Source organism: Homo sapiens, chromosome 1 (genome assembly GCF_000001405.40).
Source record: "Homo sapiens chromosome 1, GRCh38.p14 Primary Assembly".
Taxonomy (NCBI): domain Eukaryota; kingdom Metazoa; phylum Chordata; class Mammalia; order Primates; family Hominidae; genus Homo; species Homo sapiens.
In genome coordinates this window covers 48,140,121-48,159,290 of record NC_000001.11, presented here as the reverse complement: position 1 = coordinate 48,159,290, position 19,170 = coordinate 48,140,121, and the positions used below count along the sequence as shown (strand labels likewise).

Here is a 19,170-nt window from a genome sequence, read left to right as displayed (position 1 = left end):
GCCGTCACATCATCAAATAAATTATGTTAATTTTTACTATACTTTTAGCCTAGAAGGGGTAATAATTCAGTATATCTTAAACTTTTTAGGTCATAGGTATTTTTTCAGATATCAGTGTAAATCACAGGACACTCCTCTCAAAATTATTCACATGTTCACACACATTTTGCTAAATTTCACGGTCTGCATGGACACCTGAAACTGATTCTTTTCCTTTTTGGTAAAATGGGAATGGTAGTTGTGAAAATATTGGGATAGCTGAACCCAACATGTTTGACATGTGCGCTCAGCTTTATCTTTGAGGTCCCTATGGAAATGACATATGCAAGGCAATAATCAGCCAGATAAAATAATTCTTCTTCTTCTTCATAAGCTGGAGCTACAGCCAGAAATCACAATTAGAAGTTATAAAGTAGGCCTGGACTCTTCAGAGGGTTTTGTTCAATAGTTTTCTCCTGTGAAATGAAGACACAAGTGGCCTTAAACCAAATTAGGGTTAAAGTGCTTTTTATATTTTACTCCAAAAATGTCCATACCTGAGCCAGTGAATATTTACTGTGTTAGCAGACTAAATTGCACATTCCCCTTTACCAGAAGAAAAGGAGCAAAGTGATTTGATATTAGTTAATATACATTACATGCTTATTATATGCTCTAAGAGTTGTATACAGATTAATATATTCAATCTTTAGTGAAAGAGATGTTATAGTTGACAAATTCTGGTACAAAAGGAAGCTAAATATCTTATCTAAGATGACATAGCTAAATAATGGCAGAGCCAGGATCCCAACTCAGGCACTTACATGCCTTCACTGTGTGTTTCAACAATCTTAGTATATGGTTTTAAGAGAAAATAGAAAAAAATATTATAAATGCATCATGAAATTGAGACATAATGCATTCTAAATTCAAGTTCTTGTCAATATATGTTTTACAGATATTTTCTTCCACTCTGTGGGATACATTCTCCCATAAAGTATTCTCAAAAGCAGAAAATTTTATTTTTGTGGTAAAATCTATGTAACATAAAATGTACTGTTGTAGCCATTTTTAAGTGGACATTTTGGACACACAGAGTACATTCACATTGTTGTGCACCCATCACCACCATTCACCTGATCTTTTCATCTTCCAAAACCGAAACTGTACACATCAAACAATAATTCCCTATTTGCCCCTCTCTCCAAGCCCTGGCAACCCACATTCTACTTTTGGTCTCTATGATTTTCAGTACTCTAAGTTACTCATATAAGTGGAATTATAGAAATATTTGCCTTTTTATAACAGGCTTATTTCACTCAGCATAACGTCCTCAATGCTCATCCATACTATAGCGCATTGCAGAATTCCATTCCTTTTTAGACTAATGTTCCATTTTACAAATATAGCACATTTTGCTTCTCCATTCATCCGTCGATTGGGATTTGTGTTGCTTCCATATCTCAGCTATTATGTATAATGCTACTATAAATAAAAGTGTACAAATATCTCCTCAAGATTTTGCTTTTAATTCCTTTTGGGTATATACCCAGAGTGGAACTGATGGCTCATATGGTAATTCTATTCTGAATTTTTTGAGGAACCACCATATGGTTTTCCCCAGTGGCTGGACCCTTTCACATTCCTACTAAAAGTGCACAGGGGTTTTCATTTCTTTATACATTTGCCAATGCTTGCAGGTATGTATGTATGTGTGTATGTATATATATAATATTGTATAGAGATATTTATGAAATATATATATACACACATACACTATCCAAATACTTCCATTTGCATAGCATATGTGTGTATATATATATATAAACTATATATAAAATGTGTATTTATATAATACACATAAATATATATTATGTATGTGTAATATATTAATTATATATTATCCCAATGCATGTGGTTTCTCATTATAGTTTTTATTTGCATTTGCCTAATGATTGGCATATTGGGCATCTTTTCATGTACCTATTGGCTGCTTACATATATTCTTTGGAGAAATGTCTATTCAATTCATGTGCTCATTTTTGAAAAGGGTTGTGGGTCTTTTGTTGTTGACTTTTCAGATTTCTCAACATATTCTGGATATTAATTCCTTATCAGATGTAAGATTTTCAAATAATTTCTCCTATTGTGTGGTTGCATTTTTACTTGGTGAATGATGACTTTTTGAGGCACAATTTAAAGAATTTTTCAAGCAGTCCAATATCTGAATGTTTATTATTTCTTTCATTGTTGTGCTTTTGGTTTCATGTTAAAGAAATCATCACTAAATCCAAGTCAAGAAGCTTTTATCCTATGTTTTCTTTTAAGAATTGTCTTACTGTATGCTTTTGATCTACTTTCTGTTAATTTTTGAATATGGTATTATATAAGGGTCCAACTTCATTCTTCATGTGGATATCCAGTTTTTCCAGAATCATTTATTGAAATGACTCTCCTTTTCCCAGTGAACGCTCTTAACACCCATGTCAAAGATTCTTTAACCATTTTGTAAAGGTTTATTTCTGGGCTCTATTATATTCCAATGGTCTATGTTTCTTTTTCTATGTCAGTATCACACTGTTTTGATTACTGTAGCTTTGTAGTAGGTCTGGAATTAGAAAGTGTGAGTCTTCTGGCTTTGTTCTTCTTTTACTTTTTAAAAATTGAATCCAATATATTACGTTTTTATGGGGTACATGTGGTATTTTGTGTGTAATAATCAAGTCAGGGTTTGTGACAGGTCCATCACTTTGAGTATTTATCATTTGTATCTGTTGAGAACAATTTATCTCTTCTAGCTACTTTAAAACATATAATACATTGTTATTGACCCTACTCTGTAGTTGAGCAATAGAACTTATATTTTTATTTACGAGCACGTGCGTGCCCATTAAGCTACCTCTCTTAATTCCCCCTTGAATCCCCTCATCCCAGCCTCTAGTATCTATCATTCTTCTCTCTACGTTTATAAGCAAACTTTTTTAGCTCCCACATATAAGTGAAAACATGCAATATTTGTCTTTCTGTGCCTGAGTTATTTCACTTAACATAATAACCTCCAGTTCCATACAACTTTCTGCAAATAACATGATTTTCTTCTTTTTAATTGCCAAATGCTATTCCATTGTGTATATGTACCACATTTTCTTTTTTCTTTTTTTTTTTTTATTATACTTTAAGTTTTAGGGTACATGTGCACATTGTGCAGGTTAGTTACATATGTATACATGTGCCATGCTGGTGTGCTGCACCCACTAACTCGTCATCTAGCATTAGGTATATCTCCCAATGCTACACCTCCCCCCTCCCCCCACCCCACCACAGTCCCCAGAGTGTGATATTCCCCTTCCTGTGTCCATGTGATCTCATTGTTCAATTCCCACCTATGAGTGAGAATATGCAGTGTTTGGTTTTTTGTTCTTGCGATAGTTTACTGAGAATGATGGTTTCCAATTTCATCCATGTCCCTACAAAGGACATGAACTCATCATTTTTTATGGCTGCATAGTATTCCATGGTGTATATGTGCCACATTTTCTTAATCCAGTCTATCATTGTTGGACATTTGGGTTGGTTCCAAGTCTTTGCTATTGTGAATAATGCTGCAATAAACATACGTGTGCATGTGTCTTTATAGCAGCATGATTTATAGTCATTTGGGTATATACCCAGTAATGGGATGGCTGGGTCAAATGGTATTTCTAGTTCTAGATCCCTGAGGAATCGCCACACTGACTTCCACAATGGTTGAACTAGTTTACAGTCCCACCAACAGTGTAAAAGTGTTCCTATTTCTCCACATCCTCTCCAGCACCTGTTGTTTCCTGACTTTTTAATGATTGCCATTCTAACTGGTGTGAGATGATATCTCATAGTGGTTTTGATTTGCATTTCTCTGATGGCCAGTGATGATGAGCATTTTTTCATGTATTTTTTGGCTGCATAAACGTCTTCTTTTGAGAAGTGTCTGTTCATGTCCTTCGCCCACTATTTGATGGGGTTGTTTGTTTTTTTCTTGTAAATTTGTTTGAGTTCATTGTAGATTCTGGATATTAGCCCTTTGTCAGATGAGTAGGTTGTGAAAATTTTCTCCCATGTTGTAGGTTGCCTGTTCACTCTGATGGTAGTTTCTTTTGCTGTGCAGAAGCTCTTTAGTTTAATTAGATCCCATTGGTCAATTTTGGCTTTTGTTGCCATTGCTTTTGGTGTTTTGGACATGAAGTCCTTGCCCACGCCTATGTCCTGAATGGTAATGCCTAGGTTTTCTTCTAGGGTTTTTATGGTTTTAGGTCTAACGTTTAAATCTTTAATCCATCTTGAATTGATTTTTGTATAAGGTGTAAGGAAGGGATCCAGTTTCAGCTTTCTACATATGGCTAGCCAGTTTTCCCAGCACCATTTATTAAATAGGGAATCCTTTCCCCATTGCTTGTTTTTCTCAGGTTTGTCAAAGATCAGATAGTTGTAGGTATGCGGCGTTATTTCTGAGGGCTCTGTTCTGTTCCATTGATCTATATCTCTGTTTTGGTACCAGTACCATGCTGTTTTGGTTACTGTAGCCTTGTAGTATAGTTTGAAGTCAGGTAGTGTGATGCCTCCAGCTTTGTTCTTTTGGCTTAGGATTGACTTGGCGATGCGGGCTCTTTTTTGGTTCCATATGAACTTTAAAGTAGTTTTTTCCAATTCTGTGAAGAAAGTCATTGGTAGCTTGATGGGGATGGCATTGAATCTGTAAATTACCTTGGGCAGTATGGCCATTTTCACGATATTGATTCTTCCTACCCATGAGCATGGAATGTTCTTCCATTTGTTTGTATCCTCTTTTATTTCCTTGAGCAGTGGTTTGTAGTTCTCCTTGAAGAGGTCCTTCACATCCCTTGTAAGTTGGATTCCTAGGTATTTTATTCTCTTTGAAGCAATTGTGAATGGGAGTTCACTCATGATTTGGCTCTCTGTTTGTCTGTTGTTGGTGTATAAGAATGCTTGTGATTTTTGTACATTGATTTTGTATCCTGAGACTTTGCCGAAGTTGCTTATCAGCTTAAGGAGATTTTGGGCTGAGACGATGGGGTTTTCTAGATAAACAATCATGTCGTCTGCAAACAGGGACAATTTGACTTCCTCTTTTCCTAATTGAATACCCTTTATTTCCTTCTCCTGCCTGATTCCCCTGGCCAGAACTTCCAACACTATGTTGAATAGGAGCGGTGAGAGAGGGCATCCCTGTCTTGTGCCAGTTTTCAAAGGGAATGCTTCCAGTTTTTGCCCATTCAGTATGATATTGGCTGTGGGTTTGTCATAGATAGCTCTTATTATTTTGAAATACATCCCATCAATACCTAATTTATTGAGAGTTTTTAGCATGAAGGGTTGTTGAATTTTGTCAAAGGCTTTTTCTGCATCTATTGAGATAATCATGTGGCTTTTGTCTTTGGCTCTGTTTATATGCTGGATTACATTTATTGATTTGCGTATATTGAACCAGCCTTGCATCCCAGGGATGAAGGCCACTTGATCATGGTGGATAAGCTTTTTGATGTGCTGCTGGATTCGGTTTGCCAGTATTTTATTGAGGATTTTTGCATCAATGTTCATCAAGGATATTGGTCTAAAATTCTCTTATTTGGTTGTGTCTCTGCCCGGCTTTGGTATCAGAATGATGCTGGCCTCATAAAATGAGTTAGGGAGGATTCCCTCTTTTTCTATTGATTGGAATAGTTTCAGAAGGAATGGTACCAGTTCCTCCTTGTACCTCTGGTAGAATTCGGCTGTGAATCCATCTGGTCCTGGACTCTTTTTGGTTGGTAAACTATTGATTATTGCCACAATTTCAGCTCCTGTTATTGGTCTATTCAGAGATTCAACTTCTTCCTGGTTTAGTCTTGGGAGAGTGTATGTGTCGAGGAATGTATCCATTTCTTCTAGATTTTCTAGTTTATTTGCGTAGAGGTGTTTGTAGTATTCTCTGATGGTAGTTTGTATTTCTGTGGGATCGGTGGTGATATCCCCTTTATCATTTTTTATTGTGTCTATTTGATTCTTCTCTCTTTTTTTCTTTATTAGTCTTGCTAGTGGTCTATCAATTTTGTTGATCCTTTCAAAAAACCAGCTCCTGGATTCATTGATTTTTTGAAGGGTTTTTTGTGTCTCTATTTCCTTCAGTTCTGCTCTGATTTTAGTTATTTCTTGCCTTCTGCTAGCTTTTGAATGTGTTTGCTCTTGCTTTTCTAGTTCTTTTAATTGTGATGTTAGGGTGTCAATTTTGGATCTTTCCTGCTTTCTCTTGTGGGCATTTAGTGCTATAAATTTCCCGCTACACACTGCTTTGAATGTGTCCCAGAGATTCTGGTATGTTGTGTCTTTGTTCTCGTTGGTTTCAAAGAACATCTTTATTTCTGCCTTCATTTCGTTATGTACCCAGTAGTCATTCAGGAGCAGGTTGTTCAGTTTCCATGTAGTTGAGCAGCTTTGAGTGAGATTCTTAATCCTGAGTTCTAGTTTGATTGCACTGTGGTCTGAGAGATAGTTTGTTATAATTTCTGTTCTTTTACATTTGCTGAGGAGAGCTTTACTTCCAAGTATGTGGTCAATTTTGGAATAGGTGTGGTGTGGTGCTGAAAAAAATGTATATTCTGTTGATTTGGGGCGGAGAGTTCTGTAGATGTCTATTAGGTCCGCTTGGTGCAGAGCTGAGTTCAATTCCTGGGTATCTTTGTTGACTTTCTGTCTCGTTGATCTGTCTAATGTTGACAGTGGGGTGTTAAAGTCTCCCATTATTAATGTGTGGGAGTCTAAGTCTCTTTGTAGGTCACTCAGGACTTGCTTTATGAATCTGGGTGCTCCTGTATTGGGTGCATATATATTTAGGATAGTTAGCTCCTCTTGTTGAATTGATCCCTTTACCATTATGTAATGGGCTTCTTTGTCTCTTTTGATCGTTGTTGGTTTAAAGTCTGTTTTATCAGAGACTAGGATTGCAACCCCTGCTTTTTTTTGTTTTCCATTTGCTTGGTAGATCTTCCTCCATCCTTTTATTTTGAGCCTATGTGTGTCTCTGCACGTGAGATGAGTTTCCTGAATACAGCACACTGATGGGTCTTGACTCTTTATCCAACTTGCCAGTCTGTGTCTTTTAATTGGAGAATTTAGTCCATTTACATTTAAAGTTAATATTGTTATGTGTGAATTTGATCCTGTCATTATGATGTTAGCTGGTGATTTTGCTCGTTAGTTGATGCAGTTTCTTCCTAGTCTCGATGGTCTTTACATTTTGGCATGATTTTGCAGCGGCTGGTACCGGTTGTTCCTTTCCATGTTTAGCACTTCCTTCAGGAGCTCTTTTAGGGCAGGCCTGGTGGTGACAAAATCTCTTAGCATTTGCTTGTCTGTAAAGGATTTTATTTCTCCTTCACTTATGAAGCTTAGTTTGGCTGGATATGAAATTCTGGGTTGAAAATTCTTTTCTTTAAGAATGTTGAATATTGGCCCCCACTCTCTTCTGGCTTGTAGGGTTTCTGCCAAGAGATCCACTGTTAGTCTGATGGGCTTCCCTTTGAGGGTAACCCGACCTTTCTCTCTGGCTGCCCTTAACATTTTTTCCTTCATTGCAACTTTGGTGAACCTGAAAATTATGTGTCTTGGAGTTGCTCTTCTCGAGGAGTGTCTTTGTGGCATTCTCTGTATTTCCTGAATTTGAACGTTGGCCTGCCTTGCTAGATTGGGGAAGTTCTCCTGGATAATATCCTGCAGAGTGTTTTCCAACTTGGTTCCATTCTCCGCATCACTTTCAGGTACACCAATCAGACGTAGATTTGGTCTTTTCACATAGTCCCATATTTCTTGGAGGCTTTGCTCATTTCTTTTTATTCTTTTTTCTCTAAACTTCCCTTCTCACTTCATTTCATTCATTTCATCTTCCATTGCTGATACCCTTTCTTCCAGTTGATCGCATCGGCTCCTGAGGCTTCTGCATTCTTCACGTAGTTCTCGAGCCTTGGTTTTCAGCTCCATCAGCTCCTTTAAGCACTTCTCTCTATTGGTTATTGTAGTTATACATTCTTCTAAATTTTTTTCAAAGTTTTCAACTTCTTTGCCTTTGGTTTGAATGTCCTCCCATAGCTCAGAGTAATTTGATCGTCTGAAACCTTCTTCTGTCAGCTCGTCAAAGTCATTCTCCATCCAGCTTTGTTCCGTTGCTGGTGAGGAACTGTGTTCCTTTGGAGGAGGAGAGGCACTCTGCGTTTTAGAGTTTCCAGTTTTTCTGTTCTGTTTTTTCCCCATCTTTGTGGTTTTATCTACTTTTGGTCTTTGATGATGGTGATGTACAGATGGGTTTTCGGTGTGGATGTCCTTTCTGTTTGTTAGTTTTCCTTCTAACAGACAGGACCCTCAGCTGCAGGTCTGTTGGAATACCCTGCCGTGTGAGGTGTCAGTGTGCCCCTGCTGGGGGGTGTCTCCCAGTTAGGCTGCTCGGGGGTCAGGGGTCAGGGACCCACTTGAGGAGGTAGTCTGCCCGTTCTCAGATCTCCAGCTGCGTGCTGGGAGAACCACTGCTCTCTTCAAAGCTGTCAGACAGGGACATTTAAGTCTGCAGAGGTTACTGCTGTCTTTTTGTTTGTCTGTGCCCTGCCCCCAGAGGTGGAGCCTACAGAGGCAGGCAGGCCTCCTTGAGCTGTGGTGGGCTCCACCCAGTTCGAGCTTCCCGGCTGCTTTGTTTACCTAAGCAAGCCTGGGCAATGGCGGGCGCCCCTCCCCCAGCCTCGCTGCCGCCTTGCAGTTTGATCTCAGACTGCTGTGCTAGCAATCAGCGAGATTCCGTGGGCGTAGGACCCTCTGAGCCAGGTGTGGGATATAGTCTCGTGGTGCGCCGTTTTTTAAGCCGGTCTGAAAAGCGCAGTATTCGGGTGGGAGTGACCCGATTTTCCAGGTGCGTCCCTCACCCCTTTCTTTGACTAGGAAAGGGAACTCCCTGACCCCTTGCACTTCCCAGGTGAGGCAATGCCTCGCCCTGCTTCCCCTCGCGCACGGTGCGCACACCCACTGGCCTGCACCCACTGTCTGGCACTCCCTAGTGAGATGAACCCGGTACCTCAGATGGAAATGCAGAAATCACCCGTCTTCTGCGTCGCTCACGCTGGGAGCTGTAGACCGGAGCTGTTCCTATTCGGCCATCTTGGCTCCTCCCCCCAACATTTTCTTTATCCATTCACCCACTGATGGACACTTAGGTTGATTGTATATCTTTGCTATTGTGAATAGTGCTACAATAAATATACATGTATAGTTATTCTTTTGATATGCTGATTTCTATGCTTTTGTATAGATACCACATAGCGAGGTTGATGAATTTATTTTTAGTTTTTTGAAAAATCTCCATACTGTTTTCCACATGGTCATACTAATTTATATTCCCACCAATAGTGTATGAGTTCTCTTTTCTCCACATCCTTATAAGCATCTGTTATTTATTTATTTATTTATTTTACTTTTTAATAGTAGTCATTTTAACTTGGGTAAGATGATCTCTCATTGTGGTTTTGATGTGCATTTCCTTGATTAGTGACGTTGAGCACTACTGATGAAAGACAAATAAATGGAAAGAAATCTCATGCTCATGGACTAGAAGAATTAATCTTGTTAAAATGACCATACTGCCCAAAGCAATGTATGAATTTGGTGCAATTCCTATCAAAATACCATTAACATTTTTCACAAGAATGGAAGAAATAATTCTAAAATTTTCATGGAACCAAAAAAGAGCCAGCATAACTAAAGCAATTGTGAGCAAAACAAACAAAACTGGAGGTATCATACTGCCTGACTTCAAAATATATTACAAGGATATAATAACCAAAACAGCATGGTACTGGGATAAAAATATACACATTGACCAATGGAACAGAACAGAAAACTCAGAAATAAGTCTACTTACATACAGCCAACTGATTTTTGACAAAAGCACCAAGAACATACACTGGCAAAAGGACACTCTCTTAAAAACCAAATATCAATATGCAGAGGAATGAAACTGGACTGTTATCTCTTAACATGTACACAAATCAACTGAAGATGAAATCAAAGACGTAAATGTAAGATCTTAAATATATTCTACAAGAAAACATAGGGGAAACACTTCACAACATTAGTCTAGGCAAATATTTTATGACTATGATCTCAAAAGCACAGACAATTAAAATAAAAATAGGCAAATGGGACTATATTAAACTAAAAATCTCCCATGCCACAAAACAATCAACAGAAGAAAGAAACAACATGTTGAATGGGAGAAAATACTTGCAAAGCATTAATCCAACAAGAGATTAATCTCCAGGATATACAATGAACTCAAGCAATTCTCCAATAATAATAACTATTATTACTATTATTTCACTAAAAAGTGGAAAAAGTCATGGCTAGACAATTCTCTTTTCTTTCTCCCAGGTTAAATTTTATGTTAGGTTTGGGAGTACATGTGAAGGCTTGTTACATGGGTAAACACGTGTCACTGGGGTTTATTGTACATATATCATCACCTGGATATCAAGCCCAGTACCCAGCCATTATCTTTCCTGCTCTTCTTCCTCCTCTCACCCTCCACCCTCAAGTAGACCCCATTATCTGTTGTTTCCTTCTTTGTGTTCATAAGTTCTTATCACTTAGCTCCCATTTATAAATAAAAACATGTGGTATTTGATTTTCTGTTCCTCCATTAGTTTACTAAGTATAATAGCCTCAAGCTTGATCCATGTTCCTGCAAAGGACATGATCTCACTCATTTTTTTGGCTGCACAGTATTCCATGGTGTATATGTACCACATTTTCTTTATCCAATCTGTCATTGATGAGCATTTAGGTTAATTCCATGTCTTTCCTATTGTGAATATCGTTGCAGTGAACATTCCTGTGCGTGTGTCTTTATGGTAAAATTATTTGTATTCTTCTGGGTATATACCCAGTAATGGGATTTCTGAGTCTAATGGTAGTTCTTTTTTTTTTTTTTTCAGCTCTTTGAGGAATCACCATACTGCTTTCCACAATGCTTGAACTAATTTACACTCCCACCACTCCCACCGACAGTGTGTAAATATTCCCTTTTCTCCACAACCTTGCCAGCATCTATTATTTTTTGACTTTTTTTTTATTATAGCCATTCTCTGACTGGTGTGAGATGGTATCTCATTGTGGTTTTGATTTGCATTTCTCTAAAAACTTAGTGATATTGAGCTTTTTTTTCATATGCTTGTTAGTCACATGTATGCTTCTTTTGAGAAGTACATGTCCTTTCCCCACTTTTTAATTGAGTTGGTTGTTTTTCTCTTGTAAATTTGTTTAAGTTCTTTATAGACACTGCATAGTAGACCTTTGTTAGATGCATAGCTTGCAAATATTTTCTCTCATTCTGTAGGTTGTCTCTTCACTCTGTTGATAGTTTCTTTTGCTGAGCAGAAGCTCCTAAGTTTAATTAGATCCTACTTATAAATTATTGCTTTTGTTGCAATTGCTTTTGGTGTCTTTGTCATGAAATCTGTGCCTTCTCCAGTGTCCAGGATGGTAGTGCCTAGGTTGTCTTCTGGGGTTTTTATAATTTTGGATTTTACACTTAAGTCTTTAATCTATCTTGAGTTGAATTTTGTATATGGCATAAAGAAGGAGTCCAGCTTCAATCTTCTGCATATGGCTAGCCAGTTATTCTAGCACCATTTATTGAATAAGGATTCTTTTCCTCATTGCTTGCTTTTATCAGTTTTGTTGAAGATCAGGATGATCACAGATGTGTAACATTACTTCTGGGCTATTTTTTCTGTTCTATTGGTCTATATACCTGTTTTTATAGCAGTACTACGTTGTTTTGGTTACTGTAGCCTTATAGTATAGTTTGAAGTCAGGTAATATAATGCCTCCAGTTTTGTTCTTGTTGCTTAGGATTGCCTTGGCCAATTGGGCTCTTTTTTGAATCCATACGGATTTTAAAATATTTTTTTCTAGCTCTGTGAAGAATAATGATGGTGTTTTGATGAAAATTGCATTGAATCTGTACATTTCATTGGGCAGTATAGCCACTTTAATTATATTGATTCTTCCTATCGCATGGAATTTTAAAAATTTGTTTGTGTCTTCTCTGATTTCTCTGAGCAGTTTTTTTTGTTTTTTTTTTTTTTTTTTTTTGTAATTCTCATTGTAGAGATCTTTCATCTCCCTGGTGAGTTGTATTCCATTCTTTTTGTGGCAATTGTGAATGGGATTACCTTTCTGATTTGGCTCTTGGTTTGGCTGTTGGTGTAGAGGAATACTAGTGACTGTTGTACGTTGATTTGGTATCCTGTAACTTTGTTGAAGTTGTTCATCAGCTCAAAAAGCTTTTGGGCCAAGATTGTGGGCTTTTCTAGATATAGAATCATGTCATTTGCAAACAGGGAGAGTTTGGCTTCCTCTCTTTCTATATGGAAGTGCTTTAGTTTTTTCTCTTGCCTGATTGCTCTGGCTAGGACTTCCAATACCATGTTGAATAGAAATGGTGAGAGAGAGCATCCTTACCTGTGCGTTTTCAAGGGGAATGTTCCTAGCTTTTGCTTATTCAGTATAATGTTGGCTTGGGTTTGTCACAGATGGCTCTTATTATTTTGAGGTATGTTTCTTCAATACCTAGTTTATTGAGAGTTTTTAAAATGACGTGTTGAATTTTACTGAAAGCCTTTTCTACATCTATGGAGATAATCATGTGGTTTTTGTCTTTAGTTCTGTTTATGTGATAAATCACATTATTGATTTGTGTATGTTGAACCAATATTACATTCCAGGAGAAAAGCCTACTTGATCATGGTGGATAAGCTTTTTGATGTGCTGGTGGATCCGATTTGCAGTATTTTCTTGAGGATTTTTGACTCAATGTTAATAAAAGACATTGGCCTGGTCTGTTTTGTTGTTGTTGTGTCTCTGCCAGGTTTTAGTATCAAGATGATGCTGTCACTATAAAATGAGTTGGGGAGAGATCCCTCCTCCACAGGTTTTGCAGTTGTTTCTGTAGGAATGGTGCCAGGTCTTTTCTGTACAGCTGGCAGAATTTGCTTGTGAATCCATCAGGCCCTGAGCTTTTTTTTGGTTGATAGGCTATTTATTACTGATTCAATTTTGGAGTTCATTATCGATCTGTTCGGGGAATCAATTTCTTTCTGGCCCAGTCTTGAGTCCAGAAATTTGTTCATCTCTTCTAGGTTTTTTGTTTGTAGAGGTGCTCATAGTTTCTGATGGTTGTTTTTATTTATGTGGAGTCAGTAGTAACATTCCCTTTATCATTTTTAATTGTATTTGTTTGAATCTTCTCTATTTTCTTCTTTATTAGTCTCTATAGTTAGTGGCCTACTTTATTAATTTTGTTTAAAAAAAACCCTCCTGATTCATTGATGTTTGGAACGTTTTGTGGGTCTCTATTTCCTTCAGTTCAGCTCTGATATTTGTTACTTCTCATCTTCTGCTAGCTTTGGGGTTGATTTGCTCTCGCTTCTCTAATTCTTTCAGTTGTAAAGTTAGGTTGTGAATTTAGATCTAACTTTTTGATGTGGGTATTTAGTGCTATGAATTTCCTTCTGAACACTGCCTTAGCTGTGTCCCAGAGATTCTGGTATGTTGTATCTCGGGTCTCATTCTCATTCAGGATCATGTTTAATTTCTATGTAATCGCATGGTTTCGAGCAATTTTCAGTCCTGACTTCTCTTTCTATTGTGCTGTGGCCCAAGACTGTTTTTGGTGTAATTTTTTTTTTTTTACATTTGTTGAGGATGGTTTTATGTCCAATTATGTGGTCGATTTTAGAGGATGTGACATGTGGTGATGAGAAAAATGTATATTCTGCTGTTTTGTGGGGGAGAGTTCTGTAAAGGTCTATCAGATCCATTTAGTTCAATGTTGAGTTTAGTTCCTGAATATCCTTGTTAATTTTCTGCCTCGATGATCTAATACTTCAGTGAACTATTGAAGTCTACCACTATTATTGTGTGGGAGCCTATGTCATTTTGTAAGTCTCTTAGAACTTCCTTTATGAATCTTAATGCTCCTGTGTTGATTCATATATATTTATGATAGTTAGGTCTTCTTGTTGAATTGAACCCTTTACCATTTTTTTAATGCCCTTCTTTGTCTTTTTGGTCTTATTGGTTTGAAATCCATTTTGTCTGAAATTAGGATTGCAACCCCTGCTTTTTTTCTGGTTTTCATTTGCTTGATAGATTTTCCTTCATCCCTTTATTTTTAGCGCTTGAATGTCATTATATGTGAGCTGGGTCTCTTGAAGACACCATAGCATTGGGTCTTGGTTCTTTATTCAGCTTGCTATTCTGTCCCTTTTAAGTGGGGACATTTAGCCTGTTTACATCAAGGTTAGTACTGATATGTTGAATTTGATCCTATCATTGTGCTGTTAGCTGATTATTATGCTGGCTTGTTTCTGTGGCTGTTTTACAGTGACTCTGGTCTTTGTGTTAAAGCACGTTTTTGTATTAGCTGGTAGCAGTCTTTTCTTTCCATATTTAGTTGTCCTTTCAACATCTCTTGTAAAGCAGGGCTGGTGATAATAAATTCTCTTAACATTTGTGTCTCTGAAAAGGATTTTATTTCTCTTTCACTTAGGAAGCTTAGCTGAACTGGACATGACATTCTTGAATGAAGATTTTTTTTTTAAGATTGTTGAATATAGGCCCCCAATCTCTTCTGACTTGTAAGGTTTCAGCTGAGAGTTCTGCATTAGCCTGATAAGATTCCCTTTGTAGGTGACCTGCTTTCTCTCTAGCTGCCTTTAACATTATTTCTTTGATTTCAACCCTGAAAAATCTGATGATTGTGTGTCTTAGTTATGATCTTCCTGTGTAGAATCTTAAAGGAGTTCTCTGTATTTCCTGATTTTGACTATTGGCTTCTCTAGCAAGGATGGGGAAGTTTTCACGAATGATATTCTAAAATATGTTTTCCAAGTTGTTTGCTTTCTCCTTCCCTTTTTCAGGATGCCAGTGATTCTCAGATTTGGTCTCTAAATAATCCCATATTTCTTAGATATTTTGCTTATTTCTTTTTATTGCTTTTCTTTATATTTGTGTGTCTTATTTCAGATAATCAGTCTGCAAGTTCTGAGATTCTTTCCTCACTTTGGTTTATTCTACTGTTAATACTTGTGATTGCATTGTCAAATTCTTATATTGTGTTATTAAGCTCTGTCAGACCTGTTAGCTTCTTTTTTATACTGGCTAGTTCATCCTTCAACTCCGGTATCACTTTATTTTGACACTTTTTTTTTTTTTTTAGATTGGGCTTTACCATCCTTCTGAATCTATTATCTTTATTCCTATCCATATTCTGAATTCTATTTCTGTCATCCCAGCCAGTTCAGCGTGGTGAAGAACTCTTTTTTTTTCTTTTTCTCTCTTTTTATTTTTTTGGGATGGAGTCTCTCTCTTTCGCCCAGGCTGGACTGCAGTGGCGCTATCTCGGCTCACTGCAAGCTCCGCCTCCCGGGGTGAAGAACTCTTGTTGGAGACCTGGTGTTGGAGGGCATACAACACTCTGGCCATTTGAGTTACTGGAGTTCTTGTGTTGGTTCTTTCTCACTCTGCGTGTGGGTGTTCCTTTGACTGCAATATAGATTGAGTACAGTCAAGACTTCTTTTCTGGATGTTTTCACTGGACCAGGTCTTTTTGTAGGGTCTTTATTTGAAGCTGACTTATTGCCTCTTGTTTCAGAGTTGGGGAATGTTAGCCAGGTATTTTTGATGTTGAAGCTCTGGGGCGTGATCCAGCAGGTGGCATGTAGGCTTATTGATCAGTTGGTAGACTCTTTCTTGGCTGTGTGTCTCCCCCACATTTCCTCACAGTTGCATCCTGAATGTCACCTCAGATGGAAAGGGAGGGTGTTGCAACAGCAGAGGAAATGCAACAACAATGGTTTCCCTTTCGGCGCCTGCACCTTTTGATTAGAAGCAGCGATGAGTGATCAGGCAACAGATCACCAATATTTAGAGGAAAGGGTTCTTTTTGCCTGCTGTGGCTGTTGCAATCTATGTGCGGGCTGCTCCAGGAGCACACACACAACTGTCTACCAAGAGGATAGGGATAGGGAATGGGTTGCTGCTGTGCTAAAAGCTGAAATTGGCTGTAATTAACTACAGTTTAGTATCCAAGACTTCCCCTGGTAGTTGCAAACTTTCAATACACTCCAGAGATTCCAAGTTTACATCACACAGATTCTGCTGATGTAATTTTTATTTACATGAGAAGGTTCCTTCTACTCTTTCATCTTTCCAGAATCTCCTCTATTGGCTTTTAATATGGTCTTTGCACTGCAGTCAGAATAAGCCTCTATGTGTCTATAGGATCTTGGCACTTTGTTCAAAATACTTCAGTGAACTTACGTTGTTCACACAGTGAGCTCATTGCTCATTGCTTAAGCTGGTTTTCAAAGCCCTAAATGGTCTGATCCTGATTATTTCTTACTGATACATTGGATAAATACTTCTGACTATAAATTCTTTTGAAAATACAAAGCTTAGACAAATTAAACAGAGTTTAATTGAGTAAAGAACAATTAATCAGGCAACCTTCTAAACCATAATAAGTTCAGAGAGACTCCAGTGCTGCTGTTACTGGTGGAGGGTCTTGACTATGAGTCATCCAGGTTCTTGACTTATTGAACAAGGAATTGGACAAAACACAGAAACAAAGCAACGAAAGAACAAAGACATGAATGCACAGATTTACTGAAGCAAAAGTACATGCCACAGAGTGGGAGCAGGCTTGAGCAAGAGGCTCAAGAGCCCCAGTTGCAATGTTCCTTGGGTTTTTATTAAGCTAGAAGAATTTGGTAACACCCCTAGGTACTTTTTAGAGGCTTTCAGTTGATTACACCTTATGCAAATGAAGGATTCACCCACAGCCAACCAGAGGCTGAAATGGGGGCTTGGCCCATGGCCAGTAAGAGGCTGAAGTTTTTCTTCAGTTTAATTCGAAGAAGCCAGCCATGGGTTGGCCTTAGGCTCCCTGTCTGCAGACTCTATTCTATCTCATTTCCCCCTGAGAGATGTGAGCCCCATACATTTTTATGGGAGGCAGAGAGACCAATGGTCTTTCTTCTGTAACTGCTTCATGCTGATTTGTATGCAGTCCCTACCTATTGAGGATCACAAAACGCTCTCCCTTCTCTGTCTAATGAAGACAGTGTGACCTCTCAATGACCAGGGCCATTATCTGAAACTGGCTGGTAGCTCTTCTGCATGATCACTTGAAGCTTAATGGTCTCTAGGTGAGAAGAAATAAATCTGGTTAAAGGATTTACAAACATGGTCTGTAAATCATTGCCACTATAATTATTAATAATGGGCCAACTAAGGGAAGGAGCCCCATAACTCAGACAGCTGTCAACATATTTTAGAGACCTGGTCAGCTAATTTTTGGGTGGCATCTCTTACTAATCCTGATAGGTTGACATAAAAACAGCATTCTTCCTCTAGGAAAAGACATACGCCACCTTTTTCAGCAGTTAGGAGATCCAGTCCCCTTCTATTTTGTAAAGCAACCACTTAGCCTTTCTCGTTGTATGTAGCAGAACAGAAAAGCATAGTTGTGGATGTGCTCACTAAAATATTAGGCCTAGAACCCAGGCCAACCACCTACTTCTCAAAGAAATTGGACAGAGTGGCCTTAGGGTGGCCAAGCTGCCTGTGGGCAATAGTAGCCACTGCTATTTTTGTGGAAGAAACCACTAAAATCACCCTGGGTCAACCACTGGATGTGTTAACCCCACATCAAGTAAGGTCAGTCCTAGAAATAAAAGGACACATCTGGATGAGAGGGGAAAGGTTAATCAAATACCAGCCCATGCTCCTAGACAATCCAGATATGAGAAGGGCTAAGTGAGTTTCAGGATACCAACTGGTGGAACCTGGCTGAGAGCCTGTTTTAACTTGGTGAAGGCTCCCTTCATTTCTGGGGTCCACTCCATTGACTTATTTTCTGCCTCCCTTGTTGCTTCATAAAGTGGTTTTGCTATGAGCCCCAAATTTGGAACTTATAGTTTTTATACATCAGAGGAAAAGTTCTAAAACCAACTCAAACCATTGATTCAACTGGCTGACCCTGGAAACAAACACTACTCAAACATTTCCACTCCATCCACCTCTCCAAAAAACAAAATATATAATGTACTTTCTCTGTTTATATCATATAAAACTAAGTCTTTTATTTTTTTTAGCTCTCTAGATCACCAGAGGCAAGCAAAACCAACCAAATTCCAAATAGCTGGCAGGCTCCATCAATTTCTGCACACCAAACAAAGATAGCCTAGGAATTCAAGATAAAGGGAAAAAATATTGACTTGCTAGAAATGCACAGGAAATGAAATAACCATTCAGAGAACCAAATGAAAGCCTTCCATCAGAAACTAAAAAAAAAAAAAAATCAATGATTTTATATAAATATATATGCATACACAAGCAAAACCCCAAACAGAACAAACAGCAAACAAATGAAAATGAGAAGCAAAAACAAATAAACAGAAAACCAACCATCAACCTTTTTCCTACTCTGTCTACTCTGGAGGCTACAGTGTTACTCAGAGCCCCCCACAAAACATGTAGTGAATACTTTATTCCTGTTATACAATTCAATATTATGAAGTCCACTGATATTAGCATACATCCTGTGCAATCAAGAAATTTACTCTAGGCACATGACCAGAAAGTACTCTAGTGCCAGCACTATCCATGCAAAACAGCAGACATAATGTGAAGCAATGTAAGCATGTACATTAAGGCCGACTTCATGCTTAACTATATTAAAAAAGAATTGTCAAACTGCCAATGTATTTCTTTACAATATTTCTTATTTTAATTTACTTAAGACTCAGAGCTTTAACTATGAAAATGTTAATTAGCCATACTTCTCCAATTCTCTATCAGGTTTTAGAGAATATTTTATTATCTAAAATGTTTCAACTTTTTAGTTTCTCTGTATATGCATGAAGATAAACACACAGAAAAACAGAAAAAAAAAAAACTATGTATGACATACAGATCATCCACAACATGCCTGAGCTTTCCATTAAGTCCCAGATTTCCTCTACTCCTCCTTCTCCTCCTTCTTCCTTCTTCCTTCTTTCTTCTTCTTCCCAGTCATTTTACTCCAGGACAAGAAAATCTACCATGGAAGATCCT

General features: G+C 37.9%; 1 long non-coding RNA gene and 1 pseudogene across 6 annotated transcripts in view; one reads left to right on the top strand and one right to left on the bottom strand.

The window, feature by feature from the left end:
• Positions 1-19,170, bottom strand: part of LINC02794 (long intergenic non-protein coding RNA 2794) — a 131,616-nt gene that overhangs the window by 22,096 nt on the left and 90,350 nt on the right. For all 5 annotated transcript variants that reach the window (XR_007066068.1, XR_007066073.1, XR_007066072.1 and 2 more), the window contains one exon: positions 17,130-17,257. This is a non-coding gene — a long non-coding RNA (long intergenic non-protein coding RNA 2794). The remainder of the gene's footprint in view (positions 1-17,129; positions 17,258-19,170) is intronic.
• SKINT1L (Skint1 like (pseudogene)) overlaps positions 1-19,170 on the top strand; it is an 80,714-nt pseudogene that overhangs the window by 23,138 nt on the left and 38,406 nt on the right. The window lies entirely within an intron of this gene.